The 22,002-nt window shown below is 46.6% G+C and overlaps 2 long non-coding RNA genes across 2 annotated transcripts, besides 2 other annotated features; one reads left to right on the top strand and one right to left on the bottom strand.

Moving 5' to 3' along the window:
• Positions 41–241: a silencer, noted in NCBI's record as "peak6866 fragment used in MPRA reporter construct". NCBI's record gives its function as "represses an SCP1 promoter by STARR-seq MPRAs in K562 erythroleukemia cells {active_cell/tissue: K562}" and the evidence as "EXISTENCE:reporter gene assay evidence [ECO:0000049][PMID:32103011]".
• Positions 58–4,004, top strand: LOC124901789 (uncharacterized). Its single transcript, XR_007060614.1, has 2 exons — positions 58–168; positions 3,690–4,004. It is a non-coding gene; the product is annotated as an uncharacterized LOC124901789 (long non-coding RNA).
• On the bottom strand, positions 1,224–21,941 carry LOC105375597 (uncharacterized). Its single transcript, XR_928242.3, has 3 exons — positions 21,857–21,941; positions 18,170–18,275; positions 1,224–1,665 (listed from the first exon to the last, which is right to left on the bottom strand). It is a non-coding gene; the product is annotated as an uncharacterized LOC105375597 (long non-coding RNA).
• Positions 11,927–12,105: a silencer, noted in NCBI's record as "fragment chr7:155815211-155815389 (GRCh37/hg19 assembly coordinates)". NCBI's record gives its function as "represses an EF-1alpha promoter that drives an FKBP-Casp9 reporter gene in an ReSE screen in HepG2 liver carcinoma cells {active_cell/tissue: HepG2}" and the evidence as "EXISTENCE:reporter gene assay evidence [ECO:0000049][PMID:32094911]".
• Positions 21,942–22,002: the final 61 nt, after the last annotated feature.

The raw sequence follows: 22,002 nt of genomic DNA, 5'->3' as shown, positions 1-22,002 counted from the left end.
CTCATGATTGTGAGTGAGTTCTCACAAGATCTGGTCGTTTGAAACTGTGTAGCACTTCCCCTTTTGCTCTCGCTCTCTCCTGCTGACAGTGAGAAGATGGGCTTGCTTCCCCTTCACCCTTTGCCAGGATTGTAAGTTTCCTGAGGCTTCTGTACAGCCTGCAGAACTGTAAGTCAATTAAACCTCTTTCTTCATAAATTACCTGGTCTCTGGTAGTTCTTTATAGCCGGGTGAGAATGGACTAATACAAAGCTTGATGGCTTTACTTCCTTTTTTTTTTGAGATGGAGTCTCGCTCTGTCGCCAGGCTGGAGTGCAGCGGCACAATCCCAGCTCACTGCAACCTCTGCCTCCCGGGTTCAAGCGACACTCCTGCCTCAGCCTCCCAAGTAGCTGGGATTACAGGCGTGCACCACTACGCCCAGCTAATTTCTGTACTTTTAATAGAGACGGGGTTTCACCATGTTGGCCAGGATGGTCTTAATCTCTTGACCTTGTGATCCACCCACCTTGGCCTCCCAAAGTGCTGGGATTACAGGCGTGAGCCACTGAGCCCGGCCGATGGCTTTACTTCTACTTGTAGATCCTTACTCCATCTAGAATTACCTTTGGGTGTAGTGTAAGGTAAGAGTTGAGGTTTTTTTGTTGTTGTCATTTCCATACGGTTGTCCAGTTGCTCCCACACCATTTATTGAAAAGATCATCTTTTCTCATTTATTGTTTCGGCAACTTTGCCAAAAATCAATTGATTATATATGTGTGGGTCTGCTTTGTGCCTCGATTCTGTTCTATTGGCCTATATTTCTATTGTACACTAATCCCACACTGTTTTCATGACTTCAGTTTTACATTGTCTCAAAATCTGGTAATGTGAGTTTTTCAATTACTTTCCTGTTTTTCAAAATTGCTTTAACTATTTTAAGTCCTTTGCATTTCCATGTAAATTGCAGAATTTGTTTGTAAACTTCTGCCAAAAAAAAATAAGCACGGTTGAGTTTTCATTGAGATTGCACTGAATGTAAGATCAGTTTGGGAGGACTAGAACTCTTCATTATATCAAGTCTTCAAATCTGTGAATACAACCAATCTCTCAACCACTATTGGTCATGTTTAATTACTTTTGGCAATATTATATATTTTTTGTATACAAATCTTGCATGTATTTTGTTAAATTTATCCCTAAACATTTCACATTTTTTATTGTATTAGACATTATGCTCTTAATTCAGTTTCCCATTGTCCATTGCTTATATATTGTAAAAGAAATGGTTTTTATATATCAACTGGTGTCCTGTGGCTTTGGAACACTCACCTATTGGTTTTTTATAGGTTACAAGTATTTTCTATGTACACTAACCTGTCATCTAGGAATAGAGGCAGATTTTCATCTTCCTTCCCAATCTGTGCTTTGTATTTCTTTTTCTTGTCTTACTGCAGTGGCTGTGAATTCTAGTACAACACTGAGGGGAAAATAGTGAGAAGTGACAGTCTTACCTTATTTCTTACCTTAGGGAAAATAAATTCAGTTTTTCACCATTCATTATGTTATCTGTAGATTCTCCATAGATTATCTTTATCAGATTAAGGAAGTTCTCTTAGATCTCTAGTTTTGCTGAAAGTTTTTCTCAATAATGGGCCTTGAAGTTTTTCACATTTTTTTCTGCATCTGTTAAGATAATTATATGATTTCCTTTTGATTTTGATAATACAAGAGTTACATTTATTGGTTTTCACATATTAAACCAACATTGCATTCTTGGTATAAAGCCTATAGAATCATGTTTATTTTCCTTTTTATATTGCTGGTATCATTTGCTCGTGTTTTGCTAAGGGATTTTGTTTCTACATTCATGAGAAATATTAGCCTTCAGATTTCGTTCTTTGTAAAGTCTTTGCCTGTTCTTTTGGGGAAGAGGGGTTCTAATCAGTGTAATATTCATCTCATAAAATAAACTGGGGGGTGTGCCCTCCTTCTCTATTTTTAAAATAGTTTGTGCAAGGTTAGTATTCTTTATCTCTCAAGTGTTTGCTGTCTGGGCCTCATTCCTGCTTTTCAGTAAAGATCAGAGAAAGTGAGGGAGTCATCCACGCTGCTGTTGGAGGAAGAATGCTCTAGGCAGAGAAGGCCGTCAGTGCTGGAACCTTGGGGAAGAGAGCCCCTGACATGTTCCAGGGAAAGCAAGGGGCTCAATGTGGCTGGAATAGAGAGGATGAGAGGGTGAGTGTTGAGGGACAAGGACAGAGATATTGCAGGGAAGGAAACCCTGGAGGGCCTTGTAGATCCTATTATGAACTTGGGCTTTTGTTCTGAGTGGGGTGTGAAGCCATTGGAGGGTGGGAGGCATGATGTGACTTTGTGGATGATCCCTCTGCTGATGGCAGACTGCCAGAGGGCACAAAGCAGCAGGAAGCCCCAATGGGAGCTTCCCTCTGAATGTGGGTGAGAGACCCTGGGATCTGGCCAGGCTGGTGGCAGTGGGAGGGGGAGCAGTTGTTGAATGTGGCTCCATTGTCAAGGCAGATACAGCAAGATTTGCTGACAGACCAGATGTGAAGTGTAAGGGAAAAGGGAGAATCAAGGAGTAGGCCATGGTTTCGGCCTGGAACCCTGGAGTGTTCACCGGCAGAGGCAGGGAGGACTGGAAGGGTCTCAGGTTTTGATATGTTGGGTTTGAGGTGCCGGACATCTCAGTGCGAAATCAGGAAGTGTGTGTGGTGGGAGCTGAGGGGTCTGTGCTGACAATGTGCCTCAGATGTGAGTCCAAGTGGCTCAAAGGAGAGAAGGTGACCGTGGCCAAGGCTGTGTGGAGGACAGGGCCCTGGCAGCAGGACTGAAGTGACGGCGAGGACTCAGCTAAACTGGAGGGACAGTGTTGACCATGGCTATGGGACCAAGAACCACACTGTGGGGTATGTCCTTCTGAGGACAGGTCAGCCTTGTTTCCGTCCATTGAGTGTCCGTGGGCCCAATGTTATGAAATCTTGTTCCCTCATCTTATCCAGAGGGAGCTGTGATGGTTAAATTTTGTGTCACCTTTGCTGGCTGAGGGGTTCCCAGACACTGAGTTAAACATTATTTCTGGGTGTGTCTGTGAGCGTGTTTCCCGCGGAGATTGGTGGTCTCAGTGGACTCAGGAAAGTAGGTGGCCCTTCTTCATGTGGGTGGGCTTCATGCAGTCCCTCGAGGTTCAGTGCAGAATAGAACAAAATGGAGATTTAACCTCTCGGCGTGGCTGCGTGAGCCGGGACACCAACCTTCTCCCCCACTTGGGCTGAGACTGAGACCATCAGCTCTCCTGGTTCAAGGGCCTTCAGACTTGGACTGAACCACACCGCCAGGCTTCCTGAGTCTCCAGTGGGCAGAAGGCAGACTCCATAACCACATGAGCCAATCCCTCTGGATGAATCTCTTTATACAGACATCCTATTGGTTCTGTCTCCCTGGGCTAATGCAGGGGTCTCGCGCAAAGGTGGCAGAGTTTTCAGATGTGGCATGCCTGAGAGCAGGTCAGAAGATGAAAGGGCCCTGGCCCAGTGGAAGCTGGAAGGCTGGGAGAATTGCCGTCTTACCCCCCTGGGGAGCTTCCGTGTTTGCATCACGTTGAATCGTGGCTATTTCTAGGCAGGCTCTCTGGGGGCTGAATCTAGGAGTCATTAGATCGCCCCTAGGCAAATGCCTGTGTTTTACAGATGAGCATGCAGAGGTCAGGACAAGAGCAGCTGGTCCAGCCACACTGTGTGCACAGGGACAGGCCTGTCTTCACCTGTGCTCACCGGGGCCTCTTCCAGAGGTCTCTGCAGCAGAAAGCATGTGCTCCACGTACCGGCCCCCAGCGTCCCACCAGACCAGCGCCGATCCCTGTGGGAGCTGAAGAGGAACTGTGCTGAATGAGAACATTTAAAGTGAATCATGTGTGGACTCCCTATGCTCCCTGACTCCTTGTTTATTTCTACCTTTTCTGGCGGATGCTATTAATAAAATGCTAGGAAAATCTTTAAACATGACATGAGTCAAGGGTACAGAGCTCTCAGTTCAGGCCCTCAGTGCCTAAGAAGCAAATTTTATTTGTTTTTTAGAATGCCACGTAGTTTTCTATTTCAAGCTCCCCTTCTCTCAAGGCAGATAAAACTCTGCTTCCAATCATGAAGATGCCCTCCTTTGCCCCCTGGTGTATTGACGAGATTCGAGGGCAGGGCTCTGGGTCCTCAGAACCATCTCTCCATGCAGCATCTCCTGCAAGATCCGTCTCTCATCCGACCTTGGCTCTGAGTCTGTGAAGGTCACTGCTAAATTGTCGGTGACATCTCTGTCATTTCCAGCCCCTCGTGTCCACCAGGGATTCTCACTGGCCCTAGGTTCTCAGCAGCTTAGACTGGCATGTTTTCTCTAGCGTCCTGCCACCCACCCACCCAACCCCTGCCCTGGAACTCTATCCAGGAAAGAGGCCCAGGACAGGGAGGCAGAGGGGCTGGTTCCTTCCTCTGGAGCCACAAGACACCAGCCCCTCCCTGTGACCTCTTCCCTCCCTCAGCTCAAGAAACCAAGCTCTGACTTTTCTTTTTTTGGCTTTTCTCTGTCTTCACTCACATCCAGATCCCTCCAGGACAACGCTCTTGAAACTCAAAACCCAGAAACGGTGGCCCACACACTTCTTTAAATATTTTTTTCTTGGTGTAATAACCCTGAGGCAGAAAATGCCAAATGACCCGATAGGGCTTGAACAACAGCGAGAAGACAGACAGACAGCAGTGCAGAGCAAGAGGCACAGTGCAGCGTGCCACACCAGCCGAGAAAGACAGACAGACAGCAGCACAGAGCAGGGGCTCAGTGTGTGCCACAGCAGCTGAGACAGACTAACAGAAGCACAGAGCAGACGCTCAGCTTGTGCCACACCAGCCAAGACAGACAGCAGCACAAAGCAGGAGCTCAGCGTGTGCTACACCAGCCAAGAAAGACAGACAGACAGACAGACAGCAGCACAGAGCAGGGGCTCAGCGCATGCCACACCAGCCGAGAAAGACAGACAGACAGACAGCAGCACAGAGCAGGGGCTCAGCGCGTGTCACACCAGCTGAGAAAGACATGTGGAGACTTAGCAGGCTGATCTCGGACTGTGAAAAACCTCAGAAAGGACTTTGGGGATCACCTAATCAAGGCCAGCAGAGTAGTGCCAGAAGCGCCCGCAGCCCCTCCTGCAGCCTGGCAGACACTGCTAAGATATCACCGCGTTCTTTCCCATGGGGCTTGAACCTGGCCTCAGATGCCTTCTCAGTGGTCCTCTGCATGGCATAATCATCCCTGCCAGCTAGCCCCCAAGAGGGCCCCTGAGCTGGCCCCACCAGGCCACACAGCAGCTGGCCCCAAGGGGCAGGTCTGTAGGTCTCCGCCCTGCTCTTCTCACCAACACTGGGGGCTGTCCTCCGTCCCACGTGAGCAGAGGCCAGGAGCAGAGGAGGCTAGTGAGGAGGTGATGCAAGCAGGTCCTGGAAGAATTCCCCAGAGCCCGCATGGCAGAAGACATCAGGTCTGTGTCCAGTGGAAGAGCCACTGCAATGGCCCATCCAGATATGCCTTTGCCTGGTCCCGTGGGTCCCAGAGCCGTGCTGACCCACAGCAGGCCAGGAAAGCCCCAGAGAATCACAAGGCTCTGAGTGGCTCCTCCTACTCTGAGACCACCCCCCCGCAAACCCGTCCCCTACACCCCACACATCCCTCCATACTGGCCCATCAAGGGTTGGTGCCCTGGTGACTGCAGGAGCCCTCTGTGGCCAGCTCCCCTGCTGCCCCAATCACGGGGTCTGGCCCCTGTCCCTTACCTCCACCAGCAGGAAGCAGCTGAGACTCCCAGGCACTGGCCGTTAGCATCCCATGGCAGGCATCTTTGACAGCAGATATGCACGCATATACAGCGATGTCGTATACACACGCAAAACACGGCAGGCTGTCCGTTCCAGCAGAAACCCACGCATATATAAACGGACATATACACACTTGCACACACACCAACCCCACAGGTGTCTTTGTTTAAAGTGTTAAGCATTCAGCACTACAAAAGAATATTGGCCATTTTCCTGAGGCCTCCACGCCCATGAACACATGGCCTCTAAAACTGATGGGCAGAGAAGCATTTAGCAGGAACACACAAGCCTGTGTATTTGTGCAGGGTAAGACCACAGACACAGACTCGTCCACAGCGAGGATTTGTTTTTGACATAGAAAGGAAACAAGAATCGTAGACTCCACATTTTCACACTCACATGATTTGAGGAGGAAAAAATATTCCCCAGGGATTGCAAATTCAGAAAACCACTTCCTTAAGGGAAAGTGAATAATGACTTCAATAGAAGGTGGACATCAATTTTAATTAGTTGGTTATTTGATCTCGTGTTGTCAGTGATAAAGGATCTCAAAGGGGAATTAACTGTGCTTAAGTCTGAGACTGCTTTAGAACCAAAACACTCTGAAAGGTAAGATTCCACCCAATTAACACGAAACTTTCAGCCAATTAAATATGCAATAAAATAAATGCTGTGATAAAGTGCAGCCAATCATGCTGAAAGCCACAGTATGAAGTGACATAAGGAACAAGTAAGCTACAGGTGGCCTGTCCACCCACTTGTAGAAAATCATTGAGAGCAAAACCAATTTCTCCTAAAACCAACTCAGAGAGAGGCTTGGTGCACCCTGCAAGGTGGGGAGGACAAAGTTCGAGAAGCAGGTGGCCATGTGGGCAATTCCAGTCAACCTGCTCGCCACTCGATGTCATGTGTCCCCAGTTATCAATAAACGAATACGTATATATTTGGTGAATTTGCGAGTTCATGAGTCAGTTATTACCAGGACACATGATCACCTAGTTTCTCATTTTGGTTTGGCTGGTTATTCTCTGTGCTAAAAGTTATTCAAATATCTCACATGTGCCTGTAATTTACTACTGGAAATAAATTATCGAAATGTATGGATCGCTGAGGGGCTCATTTTCCTTCTCAGAGAACATCCACCACGTCACAGCTCCCTGTTCAAAAGACGAATGTGTCATTCAGAAAATCCCTCCATCCGGCAGGCGGGCGGGCTTTAAGTAAAGCACCGTTTTAAAGAAGAATGAAAAGCAGACTGTCAATTCCTAAGTAATGAAGGCAATTGGCAAATTTTAGTTCACAAATTACACCCTAATTGTCACTATCAGTGAAGAGCTTGTTAATGTGCCCTTTATCCTTTGAAGAATGTAAGGGAAAGAGAAGACTTGGCAAAAAGTAGAAAATCAAACAAGAAGGTCCAAATATTTTACATTCCCCAGTGTTACTATCTCCTGAACAGACAAAGCCCTGGAAATTGTTCCTGAACAATCGTGGAAAAGCACAGCTACAAGCAAGGACTCTAAAATGCTAACCGCGCTGCCATCACCAAATGGGAAATACATTTCTGCCACTTAGATAAAATTTAAAGTCTTAACTAAAAATCCAGAAAGGTCCTGATATACATATTTAAGAGAAAAGGAAATATTGAGATTTATTTTTAAAAATAATAAAATAATAAATGATAAAAATAATAAAAAATAAGTATTAGCTATCACGACTTTGACCTAATTACTTCATTTTTCTGAGTGTCTGCATGATCAAGTGAGGTTGATAAAGCAAACTGCCTCTTAAGGAAGGTAGGAAGTACGCACAGCGGCAGGCACACAGTCAATGCTTCCTAAGTCCAGCCTGTCTCTGCTGCTTCTCACTGAGGTCTGCTTTCCAATTCTCAGCTGAGTGTGCAACACCTAGCTCATGTGTGTTACACGGAATCCCAGCCACAGGTCAGCCAGGGCCGCCTCGAAAAAGAGAAACCTCTTCACTGTGCCCCTATGAACAGAACCACAGTGGCACGCCGCGTGCCTGGGGAGACGAAGTGTTGTGTGCCCTGGGGCACCAGAAGGCGACCGGGAGGGGGAAAATGCGTGTTAAATGCTATGCTGCAGGTGGTGTACTAGGAAATTCCCAGACACTCTCTATGAGAAACACATCATCTACCCAGTTCCATAAAAGATAAAGTAGAAATTGTAAGAACGTTTAGACAGTTGGGAAGTGCTGGAGCCAGGATTAGAACCCAAGACTGTACATCAGACTCCACACGTATCTCACTCCCTGGGCCCTTGTTCTGTGTCACAGTTCATTCAGAACCCAGCAGAAACATTCACCGCAGCCCCAGTCAGTGTCCCGCGCCGGGATGGTGCCTGAGAGGGCAAGGCCGATTCCAGTTTGATACAGATGTTTAAATTACAGGCATGTTTGTGTATCTACAAACTAGACTGTACCATCTCCGTGTGCCTATCGGAGGTGCACAGCACTGGCCCAATTCCCACCCTCTGTACTTCTCTAGGAACTGTGCCACTGAGTGACAGAAGGTTGAACATTTGGCCCATTACCAATAAATGACTATGTTTTCTCCTTGAGAATATCAAAGGACTAAGGAGCTGGCACACAGAGTTGACAGAAAGACCTGCTTCTGGAAGTTTTCTTTCATGAAGGTGGACTAGCAGTGGGATGTTGGACAGATCCCGTCCCTTCCCTGGAATCCAGTTCTCCCATCTGAAAAATAGGAACCTAGGCTAGAAAATCTCTCTGATCTTCCCCAAGTTTGAATGATATGATTCAAGGCCAAACGTTTTAATGGACTCAGTCGAAATAGCCATTGATTCAAACCAAGCATTGGCACACTCTGAAGTTGCCAGATCAAATAAAAGACATCCAGGGCAAGTGTGCCCAATGCCATGCTTGGGGCACTCTAACAACGTACTCTCTTTGTATCTGAAATTCAAACTCAACTGGTAGCAACCTGGCCTGGGCCAAATCCAGTCGGCTGCCTGGTTTTTGTTTTGTTTGTTTTGTTTTGTTTTTGAGATGGAGTCTCGCTCTGTCACCCAGGCTAGAGTACAGTGGCATGATCTCGGCTCACTGCAACCTCCGTCTTCTGGTTTCAAGTGATTCTTCTGCCTCAGCCTCCTGAGTAGCTGGGATTACAGGTGCCCACCACTATGCCCAGCTAATTTTTGTATTTTTAGTGGATATGGAGTTTCACCATGTTGGCCAGGCTGGTCTCGAACTCCTGACCTTGTGATCCACCCACTTGCCTCGGCCTCCCAAAGTGCTGGGATCACAGGCATGAGCCACCTCGCCCAGCCATCTGTCTTTGTAAACAAAGTTTTATTGGCAAACAGCCACACACATTCATTTACATATCATGTGTGGCCGCTTTCCCACTACAACAGCGGGGTTGAGGAACAGAGACCGTCTGGCCAACAGAGCCTTAAATATTTACTATCTGGCCCTTCACACACACACCCACACCCATCCACACACACACACACCCACACCCACCCACCCACACACACACACACACACACACACAATGCGTTTTCTCATCCCTGGTTTAGGTGATGCATGTCACATACAGAACTTATCCAAATGCTGACTTGGTAGTCGGTAACACACAACTTGACTTGGTGGCAGGTTCCCTGTGGAACTTACTGATTAATATGTGTTTGCCTCCCCCACCACACATAGGGGAGAAACTCCTTGATGTTGCTACCTAATGCAATATCAACAGTCCTCAAAGTCTCCGACACTGCACATGCAATAGACATTCAATATCCACTTGTGGATTTATTCACTGATAAACACAGTTCCAGAGGCCTGGGATGTGCCTGAGGGTTGATGACTAGGTGCTGCACAAGGGCCTCTGTGCTGGAGCTTCAGTCCCCACAGGAAGCATAAGAGATGACCAGCCAGGGAACGTGCCTTCGTCTCCATTTCACCACATCTCGAAGGAAGCTAAGATGGTGCCCTATTGATCGGGAATACAGTGCGGGACGCCACATTCAAGACAATTATCTTTCTTGTTAACAGAATAAAGTCCTCAGGGAAGATTTAGCATGTCAGTTCTCAGAAAGCACTGTCCGATTGGCAACTTTGTTCAATTAAGCAAATATTTTTCATAGGCAAAAGCTAAAGCTTTTAATTTCTCAGACACAATGGAAATATCGGCTGGATTTCTTGAGGTCTAACGCTGAAGACAACATCTTAAGCCTGGAATCACATGAACTACTCTGTCCTGCCTTAAATCCTCTATTGAAGTCTTTCCCAAGGGCTTTGAAAGGGGCCGCTTACTCATCTTGCAAAGAAACCCCGAAGATAGGCCTTATTCCTCCATTTCAAAGGAAGAATAGGAAGCTTTTTAAATCTCACAAAGGAGGCAAGAAGCAGCAATCTCCCCAGCTGACAAGGGCGGGCAGCTGGGGTGTGAGGAAGAATTTGAGAAGAACCTTAAAAAGGGGGTGGGTGGAGACCAGGGAAGCTGTCGGCAGCCCCTGGCCGGATCAACATGGCAGCCCTCTGGTGCTTCTGCAGGGCTCAAACATCTGAGCAAGAAGAGAGCAGCTTGTGGGTGAGCACCAACCGCTTTCCAAAGGCTAGTGCTTGTCTGACCACTTCAAAAGCAGAATTTTGAATCTTCCTAGAAGTTCCCAGTCAAGATAAGTCTAATGGCAGAGCCCTGGGCTCAGCCCAGAATGCCACAGTTTTGCTCATTTTTTGCCACCTGCACCCAAGCCCCTTGGGCACCTCCATTCCATTATCTGCCAAAATGGGGGCAGACAAGGTGTGGAATTCACACAGGACTTTGAAAAGTCAAGGGTGCTCCAGCGGTATTTATTTTCTCCTCCAAGCCCCCTCTTTCTTCTCCCCTTTGCAATCCTGCCGTATTCCTGATTCAGTGGCACTACAGTTGAAGGAAACCCAAATTTACAAAGTCATCCTCGCACAGAGAATCAGGAGCAATCAATCCTCTTTACAACTGCTTCACTGCTTTATGGAAGAACAGTTGACTCTTGTAATGCCTTCAAAGTAAGATTACTTTTCCCGCATTTTTCAAGAATAAGACTGTTGTATAGATGAATGTGTCTCCTATGACTCGGCTATTTCACACTCAAGTGAGGAGGTTTACTTGACCAACAGTGGCTTAAGCAGGAACTTTAAGCTAATGTGTTATATTTATTTTCTTGGAGTGGCCCACCAAACACACCATGAGGGCTCTGTTCTTTGTTCAGCGTATGACCCAAGGCCTTTTGATGGCTCCAGCAGGATACTTTGCATTCTTGTTATTTCCTTTTCTCTAAGTAGAGTGGCAAAAAAACTGGAATGGGATTCAGAAAACCTGGGTTCAGGCCTTAGGTCTCCACTGTAGAGCTCTTCGACCTTTGGCCATTCCACCTTCCTCCAGACCACCATATGCTAGTCTTGAACCACGTCTAGGATGGGAGGTCCGAGGGACGAGGGCCATGGCTGATGAGGGATGCTTCCCACAGTGCTGTGCAGATCCCTGTCGGCAAAGTTCTCAGGTATGCACCATGCAGACATGGTGTTCTGTGAGTCCACAGCCAAGACGGTGGAATGGAAACTTCCCCTACTTATCCTCCCTCCAAAAAGCACCCGTTACCAGGGCCAGTGCTCCCCACCTTGACTGTGTGGACAGTCCTGTTGACATGCACAGTCTGATTTAGCGGGGCTGAGGTGGGGCCTGAGATGCTGCACTTCTAGGAAGCTCCTGGGTGAGGCGGATGCTACAGGTCCATGGGCCACACTTTGAGTAGTGAGGACTGAAGCCATGGAACAGGAGAGACTGCACTTCCACAAGGGAACTTGGTCGTAGTCACTCGGGACAGACGGTCACTTTCCACTTCTTGAGGCAGCTTGCTCCAACAGGCGAGACATGAGGCCCGATCTCCACCAGCCATCCCTCAGAAGGGGGCCTTCCACTCTCACAGAATGGCAGGAAGAGAAGGGTAAATCTGCTGTTTTCACAACAGCCAAAGTCCCATGAAGTGTTCAGGGATGGGAGGTAACCTCAGGCAGCGTCCAGGGTCCGGCTTACGCCATCCGCAGGGCATATTTAGTGACCATGAGGTCGGAGGATGGGCTATGTCAGCTTCATAGGCCTCAAAGCAAAGTTCAAGAAGCCAGTCTCGGCCGGGCACGGTGGCTCGCGCCTGTAATCCCAGCACTTTGGGAGGCTGAGGCAGGCAGATCACGAGGTCAGGAGATTGAGACCATCTGGCTAACACGGTGAAACCCCTTCTCTACTAAAAATGCAAAAAATGAGCCAGGCATGGTGGCAGGCACCTGTAGTCTCAGCTACTCGGGAGGCTGAGGCAGGAGAATGGTGTGAATCTGGGAGATGGAGCTTGCAGTGAGCTGAGATCGTGCCACTGCACTCCAGCCTGGGCGACAGATCCAGACTCCGTCTCAAAAAAAAAAAAAGAAAGGAAAAAAAAGAAACCAGTTTCACTGCAGTTCTCCATGTGGCCCCAGGTTCTCATCTCCATGTGGCCCCAGGTTCTCATCTCCTTAGGGCACCTTGAGCCCAAGTTGAGAAAACCTTGGGACTGGATGTGGGTGTTCCCACCAGAGAACCCCTGCCTTGCCAGAAACGCTGTGAAATGAACCATGGTAATTTCATTATAAGGGTTTTATCCTGTGATTCAATTAAAGATTCCAGAAGATTTGATATTTGTGAGATAGGAAATTCTATTTACCTTCTTATCTCCACCTCTCATTCCTGACAAAATACTGTGGTCTTTGGATTATCTTCCAGTCCTCTAGCAGGTGGCTGACTTGGGACTTGAATTGAAGTACTTCAGTCTAAGCCTTACTCTGTTCCTTTCTTTCCCTACTTTGTTAGGCTACATACTATGTTACGTGATGAAAATCCCTAGTGGGTGAACATACTTGGTGCATTACTGCAAAAATAGGAGCGGCCAACAAAGCCGAGTTCATTCACCTTCAGGGCAAAGAACCAATCTCATCCGTGTATGCAGGTTGTGCCTGAGAGAGCAAAAATAATAATTCACAGGCACTGAAGCTGCCCCAGGGAAGGCCCCATGGGAGGGCGGCCGGGCAGGGCGTGTGGCAGCAGAGTGTTTTGCTGGTCGTGAAGGGAATGGCCAAGTTCAGGTAATGGGAGAAGCTGAGCCCGCCTGGACAGGATGAATCACTTTTCTCACAGCTTCCCATAGTTATTCAAGAACTTGCTCTGTACCTAGCACTAGGCAGGCCACATATTTTAATCTTAATTTTTATTTTAAGTTCTGGGGTACATGCGCAGGATGTGCACATTTGTTACAGGGGTAAACGTGTACCATAGTGGCTTGCTGCACCTGCCAACTTATCACTTAGGTGTTTTTATTTTTATTATTTATTTATTTATTTATTTATTTATTGAGATGGAGTCTCACTCTGTCACCTGGCTGGAGTGCAATGGCACAATCTCGGCTCGCTAAAACCTCTGCCTCCCGGGTTCAAGCGATTCTCCCACCTCAGCCTCCTGAGTAGCTGGGATTACAGGTGTCTGCCACCATGCTTGGCAAATTTTTTGTATCTTTAGTAGAGATGGGCTTTCACCATGTTGGCCAGGCTGGTCTCAAACTCCTGACCTCAGGTGATCCACCTGCCTCGGCCTCCCAAAGTGCTGGGATTACAGGCGTGAGCCACTGTGCCTGGCCACTTAGGTTTTTTAGAAGGTCCTGAGTGATCATTTGCTCCAGAGACTGTCCAGAAGTCATTGAAATAAATCGCCTATGTCTAAGGTTGTCAGATAAAATACAGGATGCCCAATTAAATCCAAATTTTAGATCAAGAAGACATACATTTTTAGTATTTCCCAAATATTGCATGGAGAATACTTATTCAAAAAAGTATTCATTGTTCATCTGAAATTCGAATTTAACTTAGCGTCCTATATTTTTATTTTCTAAGTCTGGCCACCTTCCCCACATCCTGTGAAACATGTTTGCTTTCAGTCTCGCCCCCAGATCTGCCCCTCCTGGTGGAGGGGGTTTGGGAGGCTCTAAACCATGCCGACTTTCCCTCAACAGAGAACGTTAGAAAGGCAAGAAGGTTTGATTCAAAACTTCTGTTTAGCATTTATACATATGTCTCTGTTTGGAAGTACTAAGAAAACCTTAAAGTGTAAATATCTTTATTTAAATTGCTCACTTCTTAGACATGGAGAAAAAGCAATTACCTAAAAGTGGAAACGAAGTGGTTTCTTGGAAATAGAAAGTACGACTCATGTTACAGACAAGGAAGTGTGCGTGAATGTTGAATCACACCTTCGCCATCAGCCATCGTGGTCTACATCCCCCTCTTGAGGAAGGGCCTCCCCCAGACAGTCCCACAAGCCCCAGCCCTGGCGTCACGTCACGCCTGCCCCCTACCCCTGCTCCAAGCATGTCAATCATTCTTGACTATGGGGGTTCCTCTCCATTTTCATCTCTCAAGCTCCACTCCCTCCTCAGTGCTGAGCCAGGCTCTCGGCTTTGCTTGAAGCCCCATCAGCCCACCCTGGGTTCTCCCTACAGACCTCACCCATCTCCTTTCATCTGTCTGTAATCCATCCTTCTGCCATCAGCAAGTGACCTTTCCAAAACCCAGACCCAGTTAAAGTCCACAGCCAACCATTCCCCACCTCTCCTGCCACCCACATGTGCTTCTTGGCTCTGCCGTGAGACATCCTTGCAGTGCCGTAAGCAGTCACCTTCCTACCTGCCTCTGTGCCTGTTACCCAGACAATCCCCCGGCAGAAGCAAGCTTCCCTTTCAGCTCTGCCCAAATAACCACATCAGTCCCTCAAGGTCCTAGTGAGACCCGGGCCCCTCAGTGGGGTCTGTGCCAGGTACCTGTGCACACCCCAGCCACAGCCCCAACACACTGGTGTCAGGCAGCCCTGGCTCATCTCTCTTTCTCCTAAGCAAACAGCTCCTTGAGGACAGGATCATGACATATGTACATTTATGTCCCCACTACAGAAACTTAGTACTTGACATATAGCAAAGGCTCAGTAAGTAAATACATGGAGGAAGGTAGCCAGCCTTCAAGGTGGCCCCAACAACCCATGCCTCCCAGGATTTAAGCACTGCGTAATCCTCTCCCACTTTGAATTAGGACTGGGCCCATGTGACTGGTAGAATGTGATACAATGGGACTTCCAAAGCTGAGTCACAGAAGACTCGAGAGTTCCGCCCAGATCATGTGGGTGGCTTGCTTTGGAGGGAGCAGCCACCATGCCAGGAGGATGCTCAAGCAGCCCCAAGGAGAAGGCCATGCAGAGAGGACGGAAGCAGCCAGTGACAACTTGCCAGACACAGGTTGCGCCCCTTTGGAAATGGATTCTCCAGCCCCTATTGGGCCTTTGGATGATGTAGCCTCAGCTGATATCTGACTGGAACTGTATGAAAGGCTTCACATGACAACGGTCCGGTCAGGTCCTTCTGAAATGCCTGACCCACAGAGACACTGTGAGATGAAAGGTGATGATGGCTGTTGTAAGCCATTAATTTTTGTGATGATTTATTATGCAGCATTAGGTAACAAAAATGAACACACACAGTCACACTCATGGTCACACAAACACATATTGGTGTAAAATAATTATACTCATTTTTATAATGCACCCCAAGTCATTCCTTCCTTCATTTACTTAAACATCTTTTATATAACACTGACCAAGACCTGGTTCCAAATGGCTTATCTATTTCTGAAACACAGAGCGATTTCTGTGTCTGTTTTTTTAAAAAGTCATCTCCAGGGCATTACTTGGGTCTGTTCTACCAAATAGGGCAGGAATATAGGCTTCAGATACAACATTTTGAGGGTGAAACAAAACGTTTTCTCATCTTTCTGGTGGGCTTCTGCGTCTTGCACACAAGCACATCAGGCTCCTCAGAGAGGGGACCTTCCCCCTGCCTTTGGTATAGATTGTTTTTGAGGGGTCTGGCTCTATCTGACTCGTCATGCTCATCAGCACATCCCATTTGGCTGAACTTAATTTCATGAGCACCTCCTGTGGCCAGTGGCCAGCCCAGGGAGCTCAGAGCAAGAAGAGGACCCTGACCCTCTAGGGCCCTGACTTCTCCTTGGGAAATGAGGCATGACTCCAAAACGACACATGACTAAGACAAAATGCAAAGTACAGAGAAGGCAGGGCTGGGAGGCGGCCTTGGGGGTCTCATTTCTTCAGATGGCAAGAAGCAGAAACGAGCACCCAGCGCTGGCAAGGCTGGTCCTACCCTCCAGGGAGAGGGGCCGGCTGACCTCAGGCTACGGGGCTCTTCGGGACTGCTCTGCCTGCCCCAAAACATCCCCCAGGGAACAGGGCTGAAAATCATCCACTGGTCCTTGATGACACACGCAGTCCTGGGAAAGTGCCAGGTGGGGTCAGGAGCTGGGAATTCTATTGTAAGTTTTGCTGCCGGCAAGAGGCCGATTTGCACCCCGGGATGTTCTGAGACTCCACAAGATAAAAGACGTGACATGCTTTAGAAAGTTAGTGAGGATCACAGACCAAATAGGCACCAGGTCTGGAACTCCTCCATGGCTCTTCCCACCTTCAGTTCCTGGGAGCACAGGCAGCTAGGCGACGTCCCCGCCATTCGGCATGGGACTCTCTGTCCTCGCATTTCCAAGGTCTGCACCGCCGTGACCCCCTACCGTAGCAAGCGAGGCTGGTGGCAGCACAGAGATGCAGTGTCACCGAGGTCTCCAACTTTAGAAGCTGAGCGGAGGCTCATGCCCGGCACCGGCCACCACCCTCTCCAGGCCCCTCTTGTAGGAATGATGTGTCCTCAGCTTCTGTCCCTGTCCTCCTCCTGCTCAACCAAAATATCTCCCAGCCAAGTGACACATGGAAAGGAGCTAATAAATTCATGCCAGGATGTATGTGACAAATGATAACTTAATAACTTCTGTTTCCTAAGGATAATTTAATAGGAGCTAATCCCTTTATCGACAGAAGTGCAATAGAAAGAAGGACTGTCCCAGGCCTTTGGCAGGCGACTGCAGAGGCTGTTTGGAAGAGAGGGCCTCTCTGCACACCTGGCAGCCCTGACGGCGCGGCTCCCACCTGGCTCTGTGCATCCTGCCCATGAGAGTCCTCTGCAGCTGCCGGCGCTGGGGGGACAACACACCCCTGCATTGGGCTCCATCTTACCCTGATGTCTAGGCCAGTGGCAGTGGCTTCAGCCCAAACAACACCCACATTATAGGCATTGCTTGTGGATCTAAGGTATAGCAGCAAAGCATTTGGATTGCTTCAGAGGACAGGAGTATGGGCTTGAGATACAACCTTTTGAGGGCTGAGCCAAAACGCTTTCTCATCTTTCTTGTCAGTTTCTGCATTTTGCATACAAGGACATTAGGGTCCTCAGAGAGGGAATCTTTTCCCTACCTTTGGAAAAGAGCAAAAACCCAGGCTTTCATCTCATAACCCTCAATCTAGCCAACTAAATCCCCAATTAGCAATTCAAAAAGATTAATTTGCACTCTTCTCTGCTCTTGAGCACAGCTCCAGATAGGGCTGGTGGGGTTTTCAGCATCTTATTTTTGTAACCAATTAAAGGGAACTAGCTGGATTTTCACAGAAGAGGCTGATATTTTAGAGGTTTTTGCCCCCCAGATTATAACTATGCCTTGTGCATTCAAACACAGGGCATCCAAACAGGAAGATCCTTGGAGACAGCTCGATGAGTCCAAACCTCCCACTTTCCAGATGAGACCACTGAGGCCAGAGGGGCTCTCTGGAGACCCCAACTGCCTCTTTTCCCCTGGGTTGGTGTGATAGTTCCATTGCAGTTGCAGATTTCACTGACAGAAGATGACATTATGGGAGTTTTCATTCACTTTCTAAAAGAATTTTAGGGCCATTATATTTTTCAATAAAGCTTTTATTTGTGGATCATCTTAGATTTACGGAAAAAGTTGCAAAGACAGTACAGAGAGATCCCGTATCCCCCCAATCCAACATCCCCCAGTGTTACCCAAGACATGTGGTTCAAAACAAACATTAACATGGTCTAGAGTTCCGTGAAGCATCTCTAGGAACAGACCCCCGATTCCATGTGTTTTCCCACTGATGTCCTCTTTTGGTTTCAGGATCCCACAGGTCATTTTATTTTAGCATTCTAAAATCTATAAAGAGACCAAAGACCTTCCCTGCCCAAACCAGCATCACACCCTCACCTTATTAGTGTAGGCGGCTGGTGACTAAGTCGCTGGTTCATTCATTAGAGTCCAAGACACACTTATCCATCACAGCGATCATGCCTGTAAGAAAACTCTTCTTACTGCACTCCTACCTGGAACTGAAAGATGATGTGTTCGGCTTCAATAGATCCTGCTCGTCACATCAGGGACAGTAGTCAATACTTTTGTATTTGGACACTGGGAATCAAGGCAGAAGATCTAACAGAAGATACAAAATAATTATAATACATTAATTACAATAGCACCATGAACACAGTGTTGCGCTTTCTCTGTTCTCTCTGGCTGCAGCCAGGAAAGGACTCAGACCAAGAAGAACTGCTGGTGTGAGGACGTGGCCGTGCTGGCCTCATGCAGTCCTTCCTGCATTCATTAGTTGAGCAATGCAGAATCTGTATTGACGTGAAGTTCAAGACAAAATAAATAAAGATACATTTGTAAATTCAAATATAATTCTTCATTCACTTTACTAAAACCAAGACAGAAAGTCTGTTTTTTACACAAAGAATTCATCTTAGCAATAACACGCTATGTGAACAACAACAATGAAAATTCTTTCTGGCAGCATTGGTAGAAAAAAATTAATAAAGTATAGAATCTTGGTAATCGTCAAGGGACCCTCTCCCAGTCCCACCAGAGAGAAACCACTCACTCCACCCCAGGGCAGTGTCCACCCTCAACAGGAGACAAAGAACTAGAGGAGGGAGGGTGTAAGGGAGGGCGAAGACGGCCTCGCCCGGGGTGTGTTGGCCCAGCTGAGAGGGACACTTGTGTAGCCGGCAGCATGAAGGGAGGCGCTATTCATGCTGCCGGGGGGCTCTGTCTCAGGCAAGGCCATGGATCCCAGCACAGTGGCCGTGGCTTCAAATGGGAAGGTGTTATCTCCCTACACAGGGCTGCCTTCTGAAACACCAGCTCAGCCCTCCTGTCAGGAACACAGCACCCAGAGGGGCAGGCAGCCAAAGAGGAGTCCCCTCCATGTTTCCTGCCAAGGCTGCAGAGGACCAACCTGTGCTAGCGTAAAGCCATCCACTCAAGTGTCCAGCCCAGATGGATTTACCATTCCGTGTTTAGAATCACAGCCCGTACCATCCAAAAGGACCTTAAAGACCACCCAGTCCAGCGCCTCAGCTGGGACCTCATCCCAATCAGATTACCAGTGAGCTCCACATGAAACGCTCAGCTCCGAGGTCTCCCTTGGCGCCTTCTCGTCCCAATCAGTTATGTTTTCCTCCTCAATAGTAGAAGGAGAAGAATCTATTCAAGACAATCTATCAAATCTCAGTAAGAACACTGAGAGTTTGTGGTTCCTGAACTATGACCCGTTCCCCACTGCCTCCACTTATGCCTGATGCAAGTTCTGCCCCTGGTGGGTGCAGCCAAGAACATAGGGCTCCCTTTTTCTCTAGCAGCCAGGCTAGGTTTTGTTTTCTCCCTGGAAGGGGCAGGCCACCAGCACCTCAACTCTGAGTTGCAGAAGCTTTACTGCAGTCAGGAGCAGCTGAAGATCTGGGGCTCCCTCCTCCACCCAGGCCCCATTCATAAGATGGAAACGCTAGCTCAGGTGCAGCACACCAGCAACACTGGGCTGTCACCCAGCACACTCAGGGCAGAGGTTCCATATCAGAAGAGGCAAGTCAAGAAGACCCGAGGCCAACACCCCCACCCAATGCCCTACTTGTAAAACAGGGGTGCTACTCAAGAGAAGTAGGCTGCTGTTCCCCTAGCTCCAGAGAGAGGATGCAGAGGCCTTGCCCAGGGGATAGAGACAGGCTTTCAGAACAGAGAGCCCTGTAGCTCTTCTCAAGAGAATGACTTTCTTTGGAACAGTGTGAGGAAGTTCAAGCCTAAAGGTGCTGTCAAAAACAATGGATATTTTGGTATTAAGAAATCAAGAGGCCGGTAGCTCCATGAGTACAAGCTAAACTATAGACCAGCTAGTGGTTTACCAAATAGAACCAGGGAAAAACAGTTAAGAAGCCATGCTGAGACTGGAACAAGACTCAAAGACAGGCCCCAAAGAACAGCCCTGCAAAGAAGCATAAATGAAATTGAAACTGACTGTGGAGAAACTCATGCCCAGGGCATTGTCAGAAACAATAGAGCAGTAAGCCAGCATTAGCAGTAGCTAACAGCTGAGTGTGATACCAACAGAGGAAGACAACTTACAGAGATAAGGCAAAAAGAGACAGTCAAAGAGAGGCCCACTGAAACCCCTGTCAGCCCAAGGTGACTGTGCACATGCCCAAGGCAGTGACATCAGAGGCTTCACACTGTGAAGGTAACAGTCTTGACTGAAATGGTCCAGCCAGATTACTAAACAAGCACAAGCAAACTACAAGCCCTGAGGAGGGAGAAATCAGAATCCAGACTTGCGACAATCTATTCTCTTAAGTGTCCAGTTTTCCACAAAAAAATTATAAGACATATAAAGAAATAGGAAACTGTGACCCATATATAGAAAAAAAAAATCAGGCAACAGAAATCACTCTTGAAAAGACTCATGTGTCTGACTTAACCAAGATTTCAAAGCAGCTACTATAAGTATGTTCAAAGAGCTAAATGAAACCATGCTTAAAGAAGTAAAGGAAGATATTATAATTATGTCTCATCAAATGAAGAATATCAATAAAGAAATGGATATTATATTAAAAAAATAAAATAAAAATTCTGGATTTGAAAAGTACAATTGCCGAGATAAAAAAAATCACTGGAGGCATTCAATAGTTGATTTTAGTTGGCAGGAGAATCAGAAAACTTGGAGATAGATTGATGCAGATTATTTAGTCTAAATAAAAACGAAGGAAGAGAATGAACGTAGCCTCAAAGAAATGTGGGACAAAAAAAGCACACCAACATATGCACACTGAGAACACCAGGAAGAGAGGAGGGGGAGAAAGGAGTAGAAAAATGTTTGAAGAAATAGTAACTAAAAACTTCCCAAATTTGATGAAATATATTAACCTACACATCTAAGACATGCAGCCATCTTTAAGTGGGATACATGCAAAGAGATCAGACACATACATCATAGTAAAAATGCTGAAAGACAAACAGAAAATCTTGAAATTCGTGAGAGAAAAATGATTCATCACATGAAAGGGAGCTCCAAGAAAGTAACAGATAATTTATCATGAGACATAATGGAGGCCAGAAGGCAGTAGATGACATATTCAAGGTGTTGAAAAGAAAAAAAAAATGCTCTATCAATCGAAACTTTTATATCTAGCAAAACTATCTTTGAAAAATGGTGGTGAGGTAGACATTTCTGGATAAATAAAATATGATGGATTTGTTGCTAGAACACACACCTTACAAGAAATCCTGAAGAAAGTTCTTCAAACTAAAAACAAGTGACACCAGGTCCTAATTCAAATTTACTAAAAATAAAAAGAGCACTGGTAGAAGTAACAATGTAAGTAACTGTAAATGATAGTACAATTACATAGTTCTTCTTTCATCTCCTAATTTTAAAAGCAATTGTGTAAAACAATATGAATATTATTCTATTGTTGGGCCTATAATATATGGCTATGTAATATATTTGACAACAATAATGTAAAGGAGGTGGGTAATGATAAGCAGTATTAGAATAAGCAAATAACACCAGATGGTAACTTGAATCCATCTGGTGGATAAATTATAGCATAATAATTAAATTATTATATATTAATAATTATAATTTATTATAGCTATTATAATTAATTAGAACAAGAATAAATTAGAACAAGAAATGGTATATAACAACACTAACATAATAAACAAAAAATATGCATGCTTACTCTCCCTTCTTTTAGCTTCTTTAAAAGATGTTCAATTAAAGTTATGTATGCATAATGACATTTTGATCAATAACAGGCCATGCATATGTCGGTGATCCCATAACCTTATAATGGAGCTCAAAAATTTCTATTGCCTAGTGACATCA

This window comes from Homo sapiens, chromosome 7, assembly GCF_000001405.40.
Source record: "Homo sapiens chromosome 7, GRCh38.p14 Primary Assembly".
NCBI classification, from domain to species: Eukaryota; Metazoa; Chordata; class Mammalia; order Primates; family Hominidae; genus Homo; species Homo sapiens.
This window is presented reverse-complemented; position numbering and strand designations above follow the sequence as displayed.